A 19822-nucleotide genomic window follows, 5' to 3' on the forward strand; every position below is an offset into this window, starting at 1 on the left:
CTGCTCCCACCCCTAGTCTGGATTAAGTGTCTCCTCTGGGGTCCCAAAATATCCAGGGCATCTCATTACACCAACCACACTGTATGATAATCTGTGGAACTGTCTGGGTTCATCTCAGCCATCACAGTCGGCCCCTGGAGGCGGGAGTTATATCTTATCTACTCCTCTACACCCAGGGCCTGGCACACAGTAGTTTATTGAATGAAGTGGGGTCCACGTGTGGCCCCCAGCTCATAGTACACATATGAGAGCCTGGTGAAAGGTTGGCTCCAGTGCCCCTCCCTGCCTAGTAGTCATCTGGACAGACCACACAGGGCAGTGGGCTTCAGATGGCCCCTGGTAAGATGCTGGCTATTCTCTAGGAGAGCAAGGTGGGCCTGAAGGGCTCCTCACTTTAGCATTTGAGTGCTATATAGGGAAGGCCCTGGGAGCCTGATTCCCCAGAGCGGAGGAGGGCTGGGGAGTGGAGCAGAGTAAGGGAGGGGACTTAGTGACTGTCAGGGGCAACCAAGGGCCATAGAGCAGGTGGAGCACCAGACAGGTGCTGGGAGGTAAGATGCTGTAACAACAGCCCAGGTGACCTGATCAACTCTTTGTCTTGTGGGCCTGGTTAGCAAGAATGTCCTTGTGCGTCAAGAGGATAAATCTATTTCAGGGATGACAAAACTGCTCCTGGCCCTTTGAGCCCTCAGGCTTGGCCTGGAGCTGGTGTCCTCACAGCCCCACACTCTGCTGGCTCCTTGGCAGGAGTGTGCTTCTGCCAGGTGCAAGTGTGGGTGGGGGAAGGAGGGGGTGTGCCAGCTGTAGCCCAGCAAATGCTGGCGCCCCAGGGGCTAGTGCAAGGTGCAGCAGGTGAGATAGTGGACAGACAGACCTTGGCCCATCAGAAGGAAGTGCTTTCTAACAGGGGCACCAGATCAGTTTTGTTCATACACACACTCATAGACACACTCACTCACTGTATTAGTTTGCACTGCTATAAAGAAATACCTGAGACTGGTAATTTATAAAATAATGAGGTATAATTGGCTCATAGTTCTGCAGGCTGTACAGGAAGCATGGCAGCATCTGCTTCTGAGGAAGCCTCAGGGAACTTTGACTCATGGTGAAGGCAAAGCAGGAGCAGGCGTCTTACATGGTGGGAGCAGGAGCAAGAGGCAGCGAGAGTGGGTAGGGGAAGGTGCTACACACTTTTAAATGCCCAGATCTCCATGAAAACTCTCACTAGAACAGCACCAAGGAGATGGTGCTAGACCATTCATGAAGGATCCACCCCCATGATCCAATCACCTCCCACCAGCCCCTACCTCCAACACCGGGGATTAACATTTGACATGAGATTTGGGCAGAGACATGGATGCAAACCATGTCGCACACCCTCTGACACTTACGCCCACACGCCCACTCACTCAGCTCCAACCCTCTACCTTTACTGGCTGGGCCTCGGTTGTATAGAATGGATGCTAGATATGGGCCTAGGGGAGGTAGAATTTCTAAAACGGCCCCTGCAGATGTCCCTCCTTAATCTCCAGATGCAGTGAATAAGATGAGTTATCACTCCTGTGATGATGTTATGGAATATGGCACAGTTGACCTTAAGATAGGGGGGTTATTGGTAGGCCTGATTTAATCCCATGAGCCCGTAAAAATAGAGAGCTTTCTGAGTGTAGGAGGGGAGGGCAGAGAGATTCAAAGCAACAGCACAATGACCACTCCTGGTTTTGGAGATGAAGGGGGCTATGTGCAGGGATTGGAGTGAGGTCAATAGGAGTTGAGAGTGACCCCTGGTCAAAGCCAGCAAGCAGCCTGGGACTCCAGCCTTGTGGGCACTAGACCTGAATTCTGCCAACAACCGGAATGAACTTGGAAGTGAATTCCTTCCCAGAAACTCCAGACAAGAGTACAGTGTGGCTAACATCTTGATTTTGGCCTCTTGATACCCTGAGCATAGAGCCCAGCCAAGCCCACCCAGACTTCTCACCTATAGAACTGTGAGCTAATAAATAGCTGTTGTTTTAAGCCATCAAGTTTGTGGCAATTTGTTCTGCAGCAATAGAAAACAAATCCAGGGTCATCCTTGGGCTCCATATAGCTTTTCCAATTTCCTGAGATACAAGCTGTGGTTAACTTCCAGTTCTTCCAAGCTCAAGGGGAGTGAGCCCTGAGGAGTTAGCCTATCTGTGGTTAAACCTATCCCTTGTGCCTACAGAGTCTGAGCTCCTGGCCCGCAGATGCTCATATGTGACAATCTGGAGCTCAACTGAAGACCAAGGTTGTCGCCATAATGGATATCCCCAGGAAGGAGAATTCTTTGGGCACCAGTTTGTGGGTACTAGCTTCCTCACTGGGGCAGAAGAACATTCCTAGGACAAGCCTGGTAGGCTGTTGGCTTAGGCAGCCTCCCAGCATTTGGGCTGTAGTGTTTTTTTTTTTGTGTGTGTGTGTGTGGTTTTTTTTTAAACTTTCTTAGCTGTTGCTCACCTTAGATGTCACCTGTTGCTTCTTGTTGGTAGGACCAGACCTCAGGCAGCCTTGGCTGAGGCATTTGGAGGTGAGGTTGCATGGAAATAAAAACAGTGAGCTGGAAGGCATGTGTGAGTGACACAGAAACCAGAATCTCATGCGTCCCAGCTGAGGTCAGAATGTGTTGGGGAGCCCAAAGTAATGGCTCTTCCTCTGGGTGTGGGCATTCAAAAGATGCCAAAGGGAGAACCTCATCCTCAAGGTGAATCCGCCTCTGAGGAGTGACTGACAAGGTGGCATCCCTGGGGCAGGATGCTTGGCTGAGCTCCATTTGATGGAGGACAGACCAGAGAAAGCTGAGGCTGGGGGCTCCCAGGGCTCAGGTTGAGTTTCCCGAAGCAGTCCAGTGCATCACTTAGCAGGACCAGGGGCAAGGGGAAGGTAAATTCCTGAAAAGGAGCCACCTCTGTCTTGCAGGTTAAAATAGCCTTGTCCCAAAGATGTGATAACACAGGGTAGGCAGGTGAGAACCAGAGGGCCATGGCAAGCACTGGGTGTGTAAACACGGGAGGAGAACTGTGGTTCTTGAAAACTCGGCAGTGAGGATACCTGGCCACAGGCCAAGAGGAAGAGAGCTGCTTCTGGGTAAGCCCTGAAACTTATTTGGGGATCAACTGATTTCTTCAGGCCTGTAGGTATCACACTAGTACCTGGAGAGGAGGAGGGCTCTAGTGGGTCACAGTTGTCACTGAGTCCTTGCTGGTGGCTGTGGTTGTGGTAGAATAAATACTCAGGAAGCTACTGGGCCCATGGCACAAGGTAGGGCAGGTGGTCAGTTGGTTTCTGGCATTTGACACTGTGGGATGGCACCGTGGGGAGGCCGGGTTCCACTGGGGGCAGACAGAAACATGAGGTAGGAGAAGAGTGCTGATGGCCTCACCTTAATGCTGGGTAATTTTTCTGCAGAAGAGACTTGCAGTGACATAATCTGATGTCTGTTTCATGAATGAGGAAGGTAGAGTCATCACAAATCAGCCTTGCAAATAAGCATGGGCTTGTGGCATTTTAAACCAACCTTGGGCCCAAGAGCCAGTGTAATCATCTTTTGGTGCCAAGGCAACAGGTCCAGAGGGACCTGAATTTGGTGCCGATCAATCCCTCTCCCCAAACAGAGGTACATATCTGTGCCTGCTCTAGCAGCGGCAGTCAGGATGGTACACGGCGGGCTAGAGGAGGGAGCAGCAGGGCTGGAGGCTGGGTGGAGCAGCCACTGTGCCATGGGCCGTGTGACTTTGTGCCAGCCCTTTCCCATCTCTGGGAAAGTGTCTGTGAGAAGTAGGCTGATCTTGCAGATCTCCTTGGCACCCAGTAGGTCTGCTGCCAGCCATGGGGCCTATGATGCCTGTAAGCTTGGATGGCGGTCGCTAGTCCACGGTCCTGAGCACTGTCTCGACTCCTTTGTAAAACAAGGAGATTGGATTCATTGAGCATCCCTCTCTCTTCTGGCTCCAATGCCCCAAATGTCTAACTGTGTGAAATGCAGTGTGATTGTCTCTCTGTGACCCTATTCCTGGTCCTTTCTGAGACCGTTCATATGTTGGGACTGAGAGTTTGTGTTATCTGAAGCCAGCATGCTGTCCACACTGTGGGGAAAGCCTGCATGATTTGCTATTGTCCTCCCCTCTAGTGCCCTGTGGTTTTAGAGCCCCTGCCATGTGGTCTGCCATTTGTCTCTCTGTCTCCTAGGGCATTTGCCTGCTTTAATCTTCTGTGGGCTGTGCAAACAGCCCTGAGCAGTGCATGGTGACCACAGGTAGGGGTGTCTGGAGGGCCGTGTTCTATCTCAGGCAGACATGTGTAAGAGGAAGGCATGAATAATTAGAAACTTCTTAATGGTAGGGCCAGCACCAGTGATTAATCATAGCAAAATTCTCCTGCCACGCACACAGCAAAGAGTCTTTATCACTCACCCCAATTAGCTTCTGATGTCTCCCACTTTTCCTTGTCCTTGGCTCTTAGAAAGAAAAGTTTCAAGATGATTCGGTCCCAGTCCCTGTCTCTGCAAATGCCGCCACAGCAAGATTGGAAGGGCCCCCCGGCAGCCAGTCCGGCCATGTCTCCCACAACCCCTGTGGTCACTGGAGCCACTTCCCTGCCCACGCCAGCACCCTATGCCATGCCTGAGTTCCAGCGGGTCACCATCAGCGGAGATTACTGTGCCGGGGTAAGGCGTCTGTGAGAGTGTTGAATGTGCCTTGCATGCAAAGGCCAGGGGCCCCATGGGCCACAGGGTCGTGCCTCCCTCTGGAGCCTGGCCCTGTCCGTGGATGTCTGGGAGAAGGTGAAGAGGAGGCACAGGAGACAAGGAGGGCCCTAGCAGAGGTTGTGGGGTGTGGGTGTGGTGTCTCGGTGGCTGCCTGTTCCCCGTGAGGAGGGTCCCGGGGTGCAGGCTGGCACACTGTGTCTGTGACTCGTAAGTTCCACATGTTCTCTAAGTCCAGAAAGCTGGAATTGGTCCCTGTAGCCTGTTGAGAAAGGTGCCAGCTTGGGCCTTTCAGTGTTGCCAAATGTTTAGTAGATTCAAAGCCATGGTACTGAGTGGTTTGTGTGAAATTAGTTGTTGCTAAATCATCTCTTCTTATATGTAGGTTCAATACCCTTAAATATAGGCTAGATCCCTTCAACCAGGAAGAGAGAATCTTGTTTAGAAATTGAGCAAATTGGTTTACACTAAGTCAATTAACGCAGTCACTGAAAATGTGCTAATTTCACCTGATTGGATGATGCATTTTTTATGCATGTCTGCTTCTTGGAGAGAAATATCACTGAGTTAGTGCCAGGGTTAAGTTTGGCTCCATCTCCCTGGCCCCAACTCACTACTTAACGCCTCAGTTGGCTTCATTAGTCTCTTTTTAACAGTAGCTGTAGAAAATATGGTGAATCTGAGAAAGCAATGCAGCTTATTGCTCTTCCTATAAAATTTCCCCTAGCTTTCAAAAATTTTTTTGGTTATGTGTAATGGAGAACACTTGCAGATGGTACAAAATTTAAAAGATACAAAAATGGTATCAATTATTCAGCCACCCATTCTCCTCCTCAGAGGCAACCACTGGTTTTAGTTTCTTATGTATTCTCACATATATGGTCTATGTACCTACAATTATTTATGCATACATAGTTTATTTACTTATTTTTACAAAAATGGTAGTTTACAATATACATTATACTGCATCTTGCATTTTCCACTTAACAATACATCTTAAAGATAATGCCATATCAATATATAAAGAACTTCTTTGTCCTTTTAAAAAATATGTACATAGTATTCCTTTATGAGGATATATCATAGCTTATTTTAATTAAGTTCCCATGGATGGGAGTTTAGGTTGGGTTGGAAACAATGCAGGCCTTGTCTGGAGATCAGCATCCTGACCATGAGTCTTTGGTGTTCACCCAACCTGAGGCAGGTGGGCAGGGCATTGGAAAGCAAGAGTCGAGGTGGGTCGGCCACCAGCTGAATGGGAGGATGTCAGCCTGTAGCATATAATAGCTTCTTTCTCCCAGTCTCCTGGCTGGCACAGAGTAGTGCATGGAGCACCTGAACTGGGCAACTGGTCCTCAGAAAGCTAAGTGTCTGTGAGAGGCAGGCTGATCTTGCAGATCTCCTTGGCACGCAGTAGGTCTGCTGTCAGCCATGGGGCCTGTGATGCCTGTAAGCTTGGCCGGTGGCCACGGGTCCACAGGGGTCCTGAGCATCCTCTCTGATGTCCTTAGCCATGGCATGAGCCCCTTGTCATGCTGAGTCCATTGGTTCCCCAGAGAAAGAATTTGGCTTCGTTGTTGGCAGGGACATATTTTTGTCTAGGATGTCGGTGTCTGCTCACCTATTCCTGCCGCTCTCAGAAGCCATCCACTGGAAGATGTAAAAGGAATTAACATACCTTATGGGGACATTTGGAGGCAGGAAAGGAGAATCTACCATCGTAACAAAAAGTCTTGCTTTTTGTATTTAGTATTTACTAAATACTACTTCTTAGTAGTATTTAGTAAAAGTATAAAAACATGCATAGGAAAAATATATTCAGACTTCTTCCCTCTGAGGATGGGGTAGGGAGGAGAGTAGAGTTTTAGCTGTATCTGTGATGATTTATTTCTTTAAACCTGTGAGAAATTTGAAAGAATTATGCTAAATATTATTGTCAGCTCTAGAAGGTAGGTTATATTATCTTTGGTGCCTGTCTGTATGTTTAAAATATTACAAAATTAAAAATGATGATTTTATTAAAGCAGAGGAGATCACTTTCAGGCCCCAGCCCTCCCCACTCTGGGCTATGCCAGCATATGGTGCCTCCCTCTGCTGTTCCCCTTACCCTGCATTGTGTCTGTCTGGCCACTTGTCTCCCCAAGCATATTTCTGCGATTCCCATCCTTCCCAAACAGACTAAGATTAATGAGCCTGTTGGAAGGCGGGAATTTATCTCATTCATCTTTGAATATGAGGCTGCTCTGGTAAAGCAGAACATCCTTAGACTTTGGGACTCAATCAGGTTAGAGTCTGAAATTTGACTCTGTAGCTTCCTGGCAAGTGATTTATCCTCTCTGGGCCTCAGTTTTCCCATTTGCAAAATGGGTTGCTGTAAGGAGCAAAATGAAATCTATGGAAAGGTCTGGCACATAACACATGACAATGGGGCTTGTTGCCTGGATGAGTTGGGTGATTAACAGAGTTAATCAGAAGTGTGGGGTTGGCAAAGAAGCAGGCTGAGCATGCAGAATTTGCTTTTGCTTCTTGTTTTGTTTCGCCATCTGAAGGACACATGAATTTTCTCAACTGAAAATGACGGTGCTCATCGCCTTCAGGGATAGGACTCAGGCTTTGTCCCTCCATGGGCCTGGTACAAAAACAGACTTTTGGCTTAATTAGCTGCATGTGAGGCCGGCTTCTGGGTGTGCAGGCTGGAGCACTTGTCTGTCTTCCAACGACCCTAACTCCTCCTGTGTCTCCTGTGTTGGGGGTCTCCAAGACCACTCCAGGTTGGATGATTCACCAGGAGGACTCACAGGACTCAGCATATAGCTGTACTTACAGCTTTGATTTATTACAGTGAAAGGATACAGAGCAAATCAGCAAAGGGAGCGATACATGGAGGATACGAGGTGCAAGCTTCCAAGGTCCTCTCCCAGCAGAGTCATCAGAACATACCAAATACCTCCAGCATCACATTGTGACAGCACATGTGGGAAGTGTTGTTTACCAGGGAAGCTCATTAGAGATTCGGTGCCCAGGGTTTTCACTGGGGCTGGTCACATGTCTGCATAGCACATCTCAAATTCCAGGCTCCAGAAGGAAAGCAGGTGTCCAACATAAACCATATTGTTTGTACAAGTAGTTTAGGTGCAATGAACCACTCTTATTGGTCAAGGAGTGGTGAGAACCCTCCTGAAATCTAGGTTCCCAGATACCAGGCAAGGGCCAATCTTGCAAGCACATCTTTCCAAGGATGGCAGTCTCAGGCCTGCTGCATGAACCCTTTCCTGCCTGCCTCCCTTCTGCAGATCACTTTGGAGGACTATGAGCAGGCAGCCAAGAGTCTGGCCAAGGCCCTAATGATCCGGGAGAAGTATGCGCGGCTCGCCTACCACCGCTTCCCGCGGATCACATCCCAGTACCTGGGTCATCCGCGGGCGGATACTGCACCTCCGGAAGAGGGCCTTCCAGGTATGGAGCTCTGGCTGGAGGTTGGGTCCCAAGTGTGGGCAGACCGAGAGCTAGTCAGGGCTTTTTTCTGGCTCGGTCTATTTCCCCTGATAGTATTTTAAAATGACAATGTTCTTTCATTGGCTTCTCCCACACTGATGTTTGATGGTTCCCCCAAGGATTGATTCTATGTGTACTGTATGCCTAGCCTGTGCAGAGCTGAACTGTTGAAGTCAAGACAGAGATGTGAAAGACAGTCCTTGTTCTTGGGAGTCCACCAGGGAGACAGGGAGTCTCATGTGGGAATTTTTTTTTTCTTTTTTTTTGAGATGGGTCTTGCTCTGTTGCTCAGGCTGGCATGCAGTGGTGCAATCATGGCTCACTGCAGCCTCAATCTCCTGGGCTCAAGCAATCCTACCACCTCAGCCTCTCAAGTAGCTGGGATCAAAGGCACACACCGCCACACCCAGCTAATTAAAAAAATATATATTATTATGTTTTGTAGAGATGGGGGTCTTACCATGTTGCCCAGGCTGGTCTTAAACTCCTGGGCTCAAGTGATCCTCCTGCCTTGGCCTCCCAAAGTGCTGGGATTATAGATGTGAGTCACTGCGCCTGGCCTCATGTGGCATATTTAAAAGAACACAATCACACAGTAAATGCCAAATTGGTGGTAGGGTGGATCGGGGTGGGAGTAGGAACAGAGGGCATGTTCCCTGGGAAGACATGTAGGCTCTGGTGTCAAACACACCTGCATTTGTATCTGGGCTCTGTCAATTTCTTGGGATTTTGGGAAAGATATTTCTCTAAGCCTCACTTTGTAAAATGTAATCTGTAAATGGAAATGCAAATAATACCTATCTCCCAGGGCTGTCGTGAGGATTAAACAGGAGAATGCATGTGAAGTACTTAGTTCAGTTCTGGCATCTAGTGAGTGTTCAATAAATGGTAGCTACATTTATGCTGCCGAGTTCAGGGAAGGGGAGGTCGGAGAGGGCTAGGTGGTTTCCTCATGAAGCCTTGCCATGAAGAACCTAGGAGCAGTAGAGGCAGTGATGAGGACAGTAGGAAACCCCACTCCTGAAAGTTGGTGGTGGGGGACACATAAGGGCCTGGTGGTCTCCATCAATGCCTGGGACCCTGGCTGCCTCTGGGGGTAGCTGGTGGTGCCAAGTTGCCCCAGTCTCTGGCTTCCTTGAATTTCAAGTCCTGTACTTTGAGCATCTGGGGCCCTAGGTAAATCTCAGCCCTTTGGGCCTATTTCCCTATCTGAGGGAAGTGGGTCCTACCACCCCAGTTTTGGCAAAGACAGACAGAAATGACTGTCAAATGTGTACTTTACATGGACAGAGGACCCCTGGGTTCTGGGCATGAGTATGGGGAAGAGGAGCAACTTCCGAACATGCAGGCTGTAGCTTCACCCGGGCCTTGAACTGCCTGCATCTCACAGACCACTGCATTGCATTAGGGCCTCCTGAGCTGGCCTGTGGCCGTGCCTGATGGGGCATTCCCCTCTCCAGCTCTGCCTGCATCAGCCCCTCTGTGGCTCCTCACATGTGCTCTAGGGATGGTCTGTTCCTTCCAAGCACAGATGGAGGATGCCCAGGCAGGTCACTCTGCCTTGGCAGCTTCCTTTGATGCAGATCTTGAGGTTTGCTCCTGCCTATGCTGGCAGCTGGACAGCTGATCCTGGATGGTGCTGGCTGAGCTGCATGGAGTTGAAGCCTCCAGCTCTACTGATATTTAGCATCAATACACTCCTTGGCCAGGGACAGAGTTTATCAAGAGTCAGGAAAACTAATTATGAGAATAATAAGAATAATATCCTATAATTCATTATTTGTAGTGCATTACTGTTTATGAAGAATTTTCCTATACACACTATTGCAACCCTCACAGCAGCGTGTTAAGGCAGGGGGTGTTATCTTCAGAGGAGATAGGCTCAGAGAGGTAAAGGAGTTTGCTGAAAGTCTCACAGCAGGGAAATTGCATAGAGGAGTTTTCTACCTCCTGTTGGCTAATTCTAACCTTAACCTATAGTGGTTGGGGGCAGATGGCTTTATCATTGGCATTCTCTGCTCTGGGGGAGACAAGTTCCCTATCCTTTGCTCCTTTGGGGAGGGAGTGGCTTCTTTATCTAGCCCCTCACCTGGCCTGGGCTCGGGACAGTTATTCCCACTGGGCAGTCCAGGTGCAATCTGTTTTTTTCCTGGGAGAAGACACCGCTGCTCTTTTTAATATTCCTGGAATCTCTGAAGTGCCGAGGAAAATGAAGCCCATTTCAGTTAAATTTTAAAAAATTGTTGAAGTGCTAGCCATGTGCCAGGGACTGTTCTAGACACTCAGCAGTGAACAGCACAAATTAAAGTCTCTGCCTGCATGGAGTTTCTATTGGAGTGGAGAAGACATCATATCTGAGATAAAGAAGTGACATGGTTTGACATGGTGGTAAGTGCTGACGAGACAAAAGGAAGCAGGGAAGAGCATATGAGATGCGGGGCCGGCGCAGGGTTGGATTTTGGGCAGGAAGGCCAGCGCAGGCCTCCGTGTCTTTTGAGCCCATGTGTGCTCACAAGGTCAGGGGCACTTTGCCATCCCTCAATCCTGTTTTGCAGACTTCCACCCTCCTCCACTGCCCCAGGAAGACCCCTACTGCCTGGATGATGCACCCCCCAACCTGGATTACTTGGTCCACATGCAGGGGGGCATCCTCTTTGTGTATGATAACAAGAAGATGCTGGAGCACCAGGAGCCGCACAGCCTACCCTACCCCGACCTGGAGACCTACACGGTGGACATGAGCCACATCCTGGCTCTCATCACCGATGGCCCCACGTAAGCTAGCTTCTCCGCGGCTGCCTGTCTTTGCACAGGTGCTGTTCTGTAGGAAGGAGATGAGAAAGGCCTCACCCCTCTGCCCTGGGGTCCCCTGTACTTAAAGCATCCCAGAAAGAGCGCGGTTTCTCCTTTCCTCAGTGCTTTGCGGGTTTCTGCAACAGTTTTCCTTCATAAGCTGGCATAGCCTTTGACTTGGTACTCCCTGTCCCCTCTTTTGTTTTTGAGGCACCATCTTGCTCTGTTGCCCAGGCTGGGGTGCAGTGGTGCGATCTTGGTTCACTGCAACCTCTGCCTCCTGGGTTGAAGTGATTCTCTTGCCTCAGCGTCCTGAGTAGCTGGGACTACAGGCACGTGCCACCATGGCTAATTTTTTATATTTTTAGTAGAGACAGGGGTTTTGCCATGTTGCCTAGGCTGGTCTCAAACTCCAGAGCTCAGGTAGTGCACCCAACTCAGCCTCCCAAAGTGCTGAGATTACAAGTGTAAGCCACTGTGACCGGCCTCCCTGTCCCTTCTGCGTGCATAGTGTGGAGCCTCTGCTTGCTGGTAGCTACCTGGGTGCCTCTGAATGGCTGTCATCCCTCTCCCCAGGCAGGACAGCAGCCTTGCAGAGAGTTACCAGCCCAGAGCATAACTATTTGGTGAGGAGTGATGAAGACATTGCTTCAGGCCTTGAGTTTTCTGGGTTTCTGGAGGGGAGCATGCAGGGAGCCTGGGGAACTTTGCTCATGGGCATGGTGCACCATGATGCTCGTGGGCTTGGCTCCAGCTAACCTGGTGGGCAGCCATCTTTCTGAATTTGGCCCCTCACTTCTTGGTGGGCACTTAGGCTGATCAGTAATACCTGGACTCTGTGAGCCTCAGAGTGGCTGTGCTGGGAGTGGGAGTCTGGGTGAGAGGAGGTGCTAGTCACTCCTGAGGACCTTCTCTCTTGTTTTCTGGGAATCTTGTGATGCCAGTCTCGAAAGTAGCATAGTGAGCCCAATGTGGATGGGCAGCATGATTCTTAGTCCTCCCTGATCTGAGGGCAGAACTAAGGCATGGGAAGGGCAGGGGCGGTTCCTCAGAGGCTGTCCTCAGCCAGGTGTGCAAGTAGTGGCTGTCCCATCTGGGAGGCTGTGAGGATCCTGCCTAGGGAGAGAGACTGAGTGAGATGGCCTTTAAACTCCCTTCCGACTCTGAGGCTGTCCTGTGCTCCGTCCACTCTGGGGCTTGTCTGGGCAGATGGATGACTGTGCTGTTGCAGTGCCGGCAGATGCTCTTATGGAAGTCTACGTGATTAGATGCCAAGGAAGCTGCTGTTTGTTTTGGGGGCCTGAGGAAGCAGGGTAGCGTGAATTGTGGTCGAAGGTTCCATGCGGCTGTGGATGCAGGTGTGTGGCTAGGCACCTAGGCTGTGTGTGGGCTGGCAGTTGGCCACAGCAGTGAGCACCCCCATCCCCAAAGGCCTTTGCTGGCTGATAAATCATGGGCCCCTTCTCTGAGTTGGTGGGAATCTGGGGGCATCAGTCCTTACAGAGATTTCTGTCTCGGTAACAAATATCCCTACAGTCCCAATCCACCCATGATGCAAAATATCCTCCTCTTGTCGTGAAGCCTCAGAGTTGAGAGATCCTTGGGCCGTGGCCATTAGGTCAGGGGGCTGGTTCCTCTGCAACCCAAGGTGGGCAGGTCATGCCTTATAGTTTGACTGTGTTATCAATCCTCTGGGCAACAAACTCCTTCTTCAAGGAATGACAAGTGGCTGAGGATAGAAAAGAGGAAGGAAAGGAGGAGATGAAGGAGGGAGACTTCCACTGAGCATCCACTCTGCTTGGACTCAGGCCCTTTCCCAGGCATAAACCAGTTTAACCCTTACTTCAGCCTTGGGTGTTACCACCTGATATTTACTCATGGGAAATGGAGGCTTGCGGTTAATTCCCTAAACACATAAACAAGAAGTCAAAACACCTGTATGAGGTCCCAGAGCTGGCCTGCTACTGCCCCATCTCCTGACTCTCCACTGACTTTATAGAGTCTGTGGATATGACTCAACAGTTCAGCAGGGTCTGTAGAAAGCCAGAACCTCCTCATTCCGCCCTGCTCCGTCCTGACCCTTCCAGCCAGGGTTGGCCCCTGCAGATGCTGGAGGCCTCCAAACTGGAGAGCTCGATGCGACTCAACTATGGTCTCTCCCCATCTCCAACTTGCAGGAAAACCTATTGTCACCGGCGACTGAACTTTCTGGAATCCAAGTTCAGCCTTCATGAGATGTTAAACGAAATGTCCGAGTTCAAAGAGTTGAAGAGTAACCCCCACCGGGACTTCTATAACGTGAGAAAGGTGCGTTAGGGGCGAGTGTTCACAGCTGCCTCACCCGGTCCCCCTCCCAGCCCATGGGATGCCCTGAGCCAGTCTGAGGCTTGTCCCCTGTGAGAACTTCAGGGCTCCTTGCTAAGGGCGGCCTTCGTGGCCAGAGGGGTATGAAGCATATGTGCAGAAGGAAGATGGGTGAGCTGCATTTGTGTCAGGCTGGGCCTCAGACAGCACTTGAATCACTCTAGGTGGAAACATTTGTCCGCATTGTATATCTGTTGGGATGTGCCCTCTTCCTTGGAAAATAGGGCACAGCCTATTAATTGGTCATAAAAGTTGAGCACAGCCTACTTTTAAGGTAGGGGATGTATTAGAGTCATCAAAGAAAGACACAGCTGTTAAGATCTCTTTGGTCCCCTCCTTGTGTCCATGTGTTCTCATTGTTCAGCTCCCTTATAAGTGAGAACATGCGGTGTTTGGTTTTCTCTTCCTGTGTTAGTTTGCTGAGGATGATGGCTTCCAGCTGGGCTTAATACCTAGGTGACGGGTTGATAGGTGCAGCAAACCACCATGGCACACGTTTACCTATGTAACAAACCTGCACATCCTGCACATGTATCCTGGAACTTAAAGCAAAATAAATAAGTGAATAAAATAAAATTTAAATTCCCTGAAAAAAAAAAAAGATCTCTCTGGAGATGGGAGTTTGTGGTTTTGCATCCTTCGGGATCATGTGGATTTAAAGAAAAGCCTCTGATATGCTCAGATCTCTGCCTCTCTTCTCCCACCAAGGGGATGGCAGCCTTGTCCGGGGCTCCTGGCAGTCTCCGCCTGCAGGGGCCGCAACTGCGGTAGGAGCGAAGGTTAAATGATCATGGCCCTAGCCTTTCCATTCTCTTTTGCTGAAGCGCTGTGCAGTGAGGCACAGGGTCAGTGCTAGGCAGGGGGTGTTTGATGGTGAGCAAGAGTCACTTCCTGTCAACCAGGTGGCTTTGAGGGAGAGGCCAGAACTGAGCTGACTTAGAGTGAGTAGGAGCTTGCCAGGCAGAGGGTGTGGTAGGGGAATGGAAGTGGTGGCATTCCAGGTAGAGGCACGTGATGTGCAAATGTCAGGAGGGAGGGATGGTATGAGAGAGTCGAGAGAGTCAGAACAGTGTGTTGACATAACTGCAAGCAGTGTGGTGTGGTTGGAGCTCAGGCATTGGGAGCGGGGAGCAGCGGGTTGTGGGGAGAGTAAGGCTGCAGAGATGTGGGGAGGTCCTGGATCATGCAGGGGCTGTGGGTTTCCCACAGAAGGCAGGGAGGTGGGCCGGGGTGTGGTGGCGAGCTGGGAGAGAAGCTCCTGGGGGAAGAGTCGGGATCAGGCTTTGCTTGGAGGAGGGATGGCTAAAGCTGGGTGGAGTCACAGTGGGGTTGCCATCTCCACAGGAGCTCTGTCCCAGCTGGGAACCTCTTGGGGACTTCTTCTTTTTGGGGTCAGCTTTGATAAGGGAGGGTAGGCCAGGGGAGGATGTGGCTCCTCTGGGAAAGCCCAGCTCCAGCCTCCCTGACCCCCTGGCTGGGAGCATATCAGCAATGCAGATGGAAGACCCTACCTGGAGGCCCTAAGACCACTTCTGTTACACGCCAGGGGTCCAACACAGACTCCCACTTGGATGGGATCAAGAGCTTTAAGAAGTGAGAGTTTGGCTTCAGCTCATGTGCCCTGAGAGGCTTACAGAAGTGTTTTGGGGATTTCCAGGCAGAAGTGAAAGGTGTTTTAGACACCACTTACGTGGGCACCCTGGCATTTTCACCTTCAAGCACCATTTGTTCCTTCTCTGTGAGGCTTAGGCGTTCAGACAGGTGGATGCCTCCATCACTGTGTGAACTCCTCTCAGCCCTGCCCAAAGAACTTCACACGCCTAGCACATGCCCAGGCCCGTGTTCAAAGAAACGCCTTGCCCAGCCCGATGCAGCCCTGCCCTGAGCATACGTGAATGCTCTGGGCTTACCTGCTTCCTGCTGCCTGGGGCCAAGGTGTCCTCACTGGCTGTGCTGGCACTGACACTGTTTTCTTCTAAGGTGGGGCCCCAGTGGGTGTTCCTGGGTCTACCAGCTGCCCTCTGGCCACAACATGAGAAACAGTCCTGGCGTGGGGCTAGGGTAACAAATCAGAGCCTATCCCCAGGGTTCTCCTGCAGTCTTGGGGTTAATGTTTTCTCTGGACAGAGATGACCTTGATATCTATGACCCAGTGGCCTGTTCTTAGGCACCACAGTCAGTCCATAAACATGGGCGCAGGTCTGCTATGAGTCAGGTCTGTGCCCGCCCCTGGGTGCTGCCTACTTGATAGCACTCTGTCTCTCTTTTTTTTTTTTGAGATGAAGTTTTGCTCTTGTTGCCCAGGCTGGAGTGCAGTGGTACAATCTCAGCTCACTGCAACCTCAGCCTCCTGGGTTCAAGTGATTCTCCTGCCTCAGCCTCCCGAGTAGCTGGGATTATAGGTGCCTGGCACCACTCCTGGCTAATTTTTGTATTTTTAGTAGAGATGGGGTTTTGCCATATTGCCCAGGCTGGCCCCGAACTCTCAGCCTCAGGTGATCTGCCTGCCTTGGCCTCCCAAAGTGCTGAGATTACAGGCGTGGGTCACCACACCTGGCCTTGATAGCACTCTCATAGCCTCTACTATGGGGAGGAGAGCTGCTTTCTAAAATCCAGAATGGGCTGGATGATGGCCTCCGTATGTCTAAAGTGGCTATTGGTGTCCCTGGGGCAGACAAGGGCTGTGGTCTGAGGCAGGAGCTGCGACGTGGCCGTGGATCTGTGTGGGTGGTATCTGTGAAGGCACCTGTCACACTACAGCAGGTGAAGGGCTGAGACACCCCGAGGCCCAGCCAGCAGGACTGTGTGACTGAGACACTTGTTTTCTATGCAGAAGCAAGACAGAAGAGCTGAGTGTGTTTGCTGCTTGGGAATTGGGTAGAAGTAGGTGACATCCACTGTGGTTTAAGTGTCATATTAAGAATAGCAAATAGGTTTTACCTTCTGTGCCAAACCTGACCAATTAGGGGCCACCCCTAAAGCTTAGTGAAAAGAGTGCTGTGTTCGATTATTGATGCCTGCCATGGGTATGGAAATGGTCAATGTTGGCTTAGGTCCCAGGTCTGGAAACTCTGCTCTTTCTTTACATCTGAGGTCTTAGGTGAACACGGGGAATGCACTTGGATCCTCTGGTGAACTGAAAACACTGACCTCCAATGACCTTCAATTATTTTGTTCCTAAAATAATCACCCTTGAGTTCTGAAGTTTGGATGGGGTGCTTCCTGGATTGTCCAGTTGTTTTCCTCATTTATCTTGTGACTCATGGGGGTAAGGACAGGCTGACCCCCCTGTGGTGTGTCATTGGTAAGCCAGAGGACAGGACCAGAAAGCCCAGAATCCGCTGAGTCATGCTGAGGTCATTGTACCAAGCTGTGTCCAGCTGAGCTGAGCCAGGCTGACCTTCTTTTGTGCATCCCACGTGAGCCCAGCCTCATCTCTGAGGAGCCTGGGCTTTGGGGATGTTTTAGTTTTCTGCTTTGCTTTGTTTCCCCAGTGTCCAGTGGTCTGTCTTTCTGGTAAGAATGGCAAGATTAATGGCAGGAAGGATGCTGATGAGTGAGTGCTGTGGCTAACGACATGGGCTGGCTGGCATAATGCTCACAGAGGTCCAGTGGATCAAATATCTGGTTTGGCATTACTTGGAGATGCTCAGCCAGCCGTGGACAGCATTCCCTGCCCTGAGGTCAGCCGCCTCCTCACCCCAGCCCGGGCTGAGCGCCCAGTCGGCCGCAGCAGTAGCTCCAGAGTGTGGTCTAATGGCTGTCAGCAGCCTGGCCTTGAGGCTGCTGTCGTCCTCCCCCGGAGCTCCCATAGGTCCCTTGTGCTCAGGGAGGGGGAGTCAGTTTACCCATAGTGACTTGAGGCCATCCCTCAGCTTAGCTGGGGCTTCATTTCCTTAGGGCTTGTGGTTGTCCTATGAGTGAAGCACAGTGAAAAGGCAGACTGGGGATGAGGGGTTGGGGAGATGGGTAGGATCCAGGCAATATTAGCAGAGCCCTCATCCTAAGATTAATGAAGAGGGTTCAGTAACAGAATCAAATTACATTTAAAGAATCCCTTCTAGCTTCTGTGTATGGAGAATGAATTGAACCAGAGCACAAGAAAAAGGAACAAGACCAGTTAGGAGGTCACTGTGAATTCAGGCCTGAGAACATGCAGGCTTGAACTCCCGTGGTGGCAGTGAGGTTGGAGAATATTGTATGGATTTGACATCCATTTGGAAGGTAGAACTGATGAGACTCACTGAGGGAAGGGAGTAGTAGGAAGGCCAAGGATGACTCCCAGTTTTTCAGCATGACCAGCTGGATTCAGGACACACCATTTCCTGGGATTCCAGAATCTGGGAGAAAATCAGGTTTGGGCTGGGGTCAGAGATGGAGAGTCCACTTTTGGATATATTAAATTTGAACTGCCTTTGGGTTATCCAGATAGAGATATCAAGAAGGCAATAGTATGTACAGTTCTGGAGCTTTTGGCTGGTGGCATAAATTTGGGAATTGGTATAAGGAAAATAATTAAATGCACAGAAATGGAACAGATCACCTTTGGAGAGAATTTATAGTGAGAGGACAAGAGGGCCCAGGACCAGGCATCAAGAAATTCCATTATTAAGAGGTCTGGTAGTGAGGATGAGCTGACTAAGGAGGCTGAAAAGGAGAGGACAGAGATGCAAGGGGTCGGTCTGGTATCACAGGACTTAGCATGATATAGAGGGCATGAGAAATCCCATGAGGTGTTTTGAGACCTTGCTGGGCTCCTTCTGCAAAGGTGCCTTCTGCAAAAAACTGCCTTTCCCTGGAATGTGGGGAGAAGTCTAAGCTGACTGTTCATTTCTGCTTCTTAGGATTTGCTCTAAGATCTTTGGCCTTGGGCCCCACAGCTTGAGTCCATATGTTGGCTTAGGGTCAGTAGAGCGGCTTCCAGTAGAGTGGCTTCTTCTTGGGACTTGGATGCCCTGGAGTTTGGGTGAGGTGTAACTAGTCAAGGAAGGGTGTGTTTGGAGGCTTGGCCTTTAGTGTCTGTTCTTTTCATTCATTCCCACTTGGAGGTTTGCTTTGGGAATGCTCTGAGGGTTCTGAGAGGGATCAATGGGAAGAGTGGGATTTGATGGGCCCTCAGGGTTATCACTAAAACTGTGAGAACCTGTCGTACCTGTTAATTTGTTCATTCATTCATCCATTGGTTCGACTTTGTACTAGGCTCTGGGGTAGGTGCTGAAGACTTAGAGGCATCAAACATGGCCCTTGTCCTTGAGGAGCTCCCAGTCTAGTGAAAGCGTAGACACACAAACGTTAGAGTGATCGGGACGGTCTGCACAACAATGGGATGCCTGTGCCAGGTTTTGAGGTTGGGCAAGGGAAAGAGCATTCAGTTGTGCTTGGAGGAACAAGGTTGGCTCCCAAATGGAGGAGGTTGTGGGAAATTTCTAGGTGGATGAGATGGTGGAGAGAAAGGAGGGCATTCCAGACTGAAGAAACACGTGGGCAAAGGGATGCAGTGTACTGTACCTTGGTGTGTGGTGTACCCGTAAGTGGTTTGTCACGGCTGCAGCACAGAATGGGGCAGTGGCAAGGCGAGAGTTAAGGCTTGAAATAAGCCTTGAATCTCAGGCCAAGGTGCTTGGGCTTTATCTTGAGACTGATGGGCCCATAGGTCATTTGTTAACTGGGGAATGGCCTGATCCAATCTGCATTTTAAAAAGATTTCCTGGTGCTGTAAGGAGGTGGAATGCGCAGCAAGGCTGAAAGGGAGGGATACCAGTTCCGAAGTCTGGAGGAGAAATGGGGGGTGGGATCCAGACACTGGTGGGGCTGCCCGGATGGCCCATGAGGTGCTGGGGTTCTGTGCACATTGAGGGTTGGATGTCTTAACTCTTGTTGCTAGGGGAGGTGGCCTGACTCAGGGCCTGGTGGGCGCTGTGTTCCAGGTGGACACACACATCCATGCGGCCGCCTGCATGAACCAAAAGCATCTGCTGCGCTTCATCAAGCACACATACCAGACGGAGCCTGACAGGACTGTGGCAGAGAAGCGGGGCCGGAAGATCACCCTGCGGCAGGTGTTTGACGGCCTGCACATGGACCCCTACGACCTCACTGTGGACTCACTGGATGTCCACGCGGTGAGTGAGCTTCTGCTCCAGTGCCGCCAGCAGACAGCAGCCCTGGCTGGGGACTCAGCCCCCTGGAAAGCCACCATGATTGTGCTTGCCGGGAGGTGCTACGGAAGCAGCTTTCTCTTCTATCTGACTGAGAGGTCATGCGGCCTCAGAGAATAACAGGTCTGGGGCAGCCATGGGACAGGGAAAGAGGGTGTGTGGCTTGGGGCCTGACAGGTCTAAGCACTAATCCCACTCCTGCCACTTAGGAGTTTTGTGCCCTTAGGCAACTCACAGAAGCCTTTATTTCCTTGCCTATAAAATGGTGACAGCCATGTGCCTTATT

At 50.5% G+C, this 19822-nt stretch overlaps 1 protein-coding gene across 5 annotated transcripts in view, besides 2 other annotated features; it reads left to right on the forward strand.

Moving 5' to 3' along the window:
• AMPD3 (adenosine monophosphate deaminase 3) overlaps positions 1-19822 on the forward strand; it is a 57192-nt gene that overhangs the window by 23656 nt on the left and 13714 nt on the right. For 4 of the 5 annotated variants that reach the window (NM_000480.3, NM_001025389.2, NM_001025390.2 and 1 more), the window contains exons 3-7: positions 4483-4687; positions 8020-8182; positions 10777-10996; positions 13192-13321; positions 19306-19500. In NM_000480.3, the coding sequence (NP_000471.1) occupies positions 4483-4687; positions 8020-8182; positions 10777-10996; positions 13192-13321; positions 19306-19500 (913 nt within the window). The remainder of the gene's footprint in view (positions 1-4482; positions 4688-8019; positions 8183-10776; positions 10997-13191; positions 13322-19305; positions 19501-19822) is intronic. The other variant, NM_001172431.2, reaches the window with a different exon arrangement.
• Positions 4703-5202: an enhancer, noted in NCBI's record as "H3K4me1 hESC enhancer chr11:10500293-10500792 (GRCh37/hg19 assembly coordinates)". NCBI's record gives its function as "activates a minimal SCP1, AML or CMV promoter by ChIP-STARR-seq in naive H9 embryonic stem cells {active_cell/tissue: H9 hESC(naive)}" and the evidence as "EXISTENCE:reporter gene assay evidence [ECO:0000049][PMID:30033119]".
• Positions 13996-14900: an enhancer, noted in NCBI's record as "H3K27ac-H3K4me1 hESC enhancer chr11:10509586-10510490 (GRCh37/hg19 assembly coordinates)". NCBI's record gives its function as "activates a minimal SCP1, AML or CMV promoter by ChIP-STARR-seq in naive H9 embryonic stem cells {active_cell/tissue: H9 hESC(naive)}" and the evidence as "EXISTENCE:reporter gene assay evidence [ECO:0000049][PMID:30033119]".

Source organism: Homo sapiens, chromosome 11 (assembly GCF_000001405.40).
Source record: "Homo sapiens chromosome 11, GRCh38.p14 Primary Assembly".
Lineage (NCBI taxonomy): Eukaryota > Metazoa > Chordata > Mammalia > Primates > Hominidae > Homo > Homo sapiens.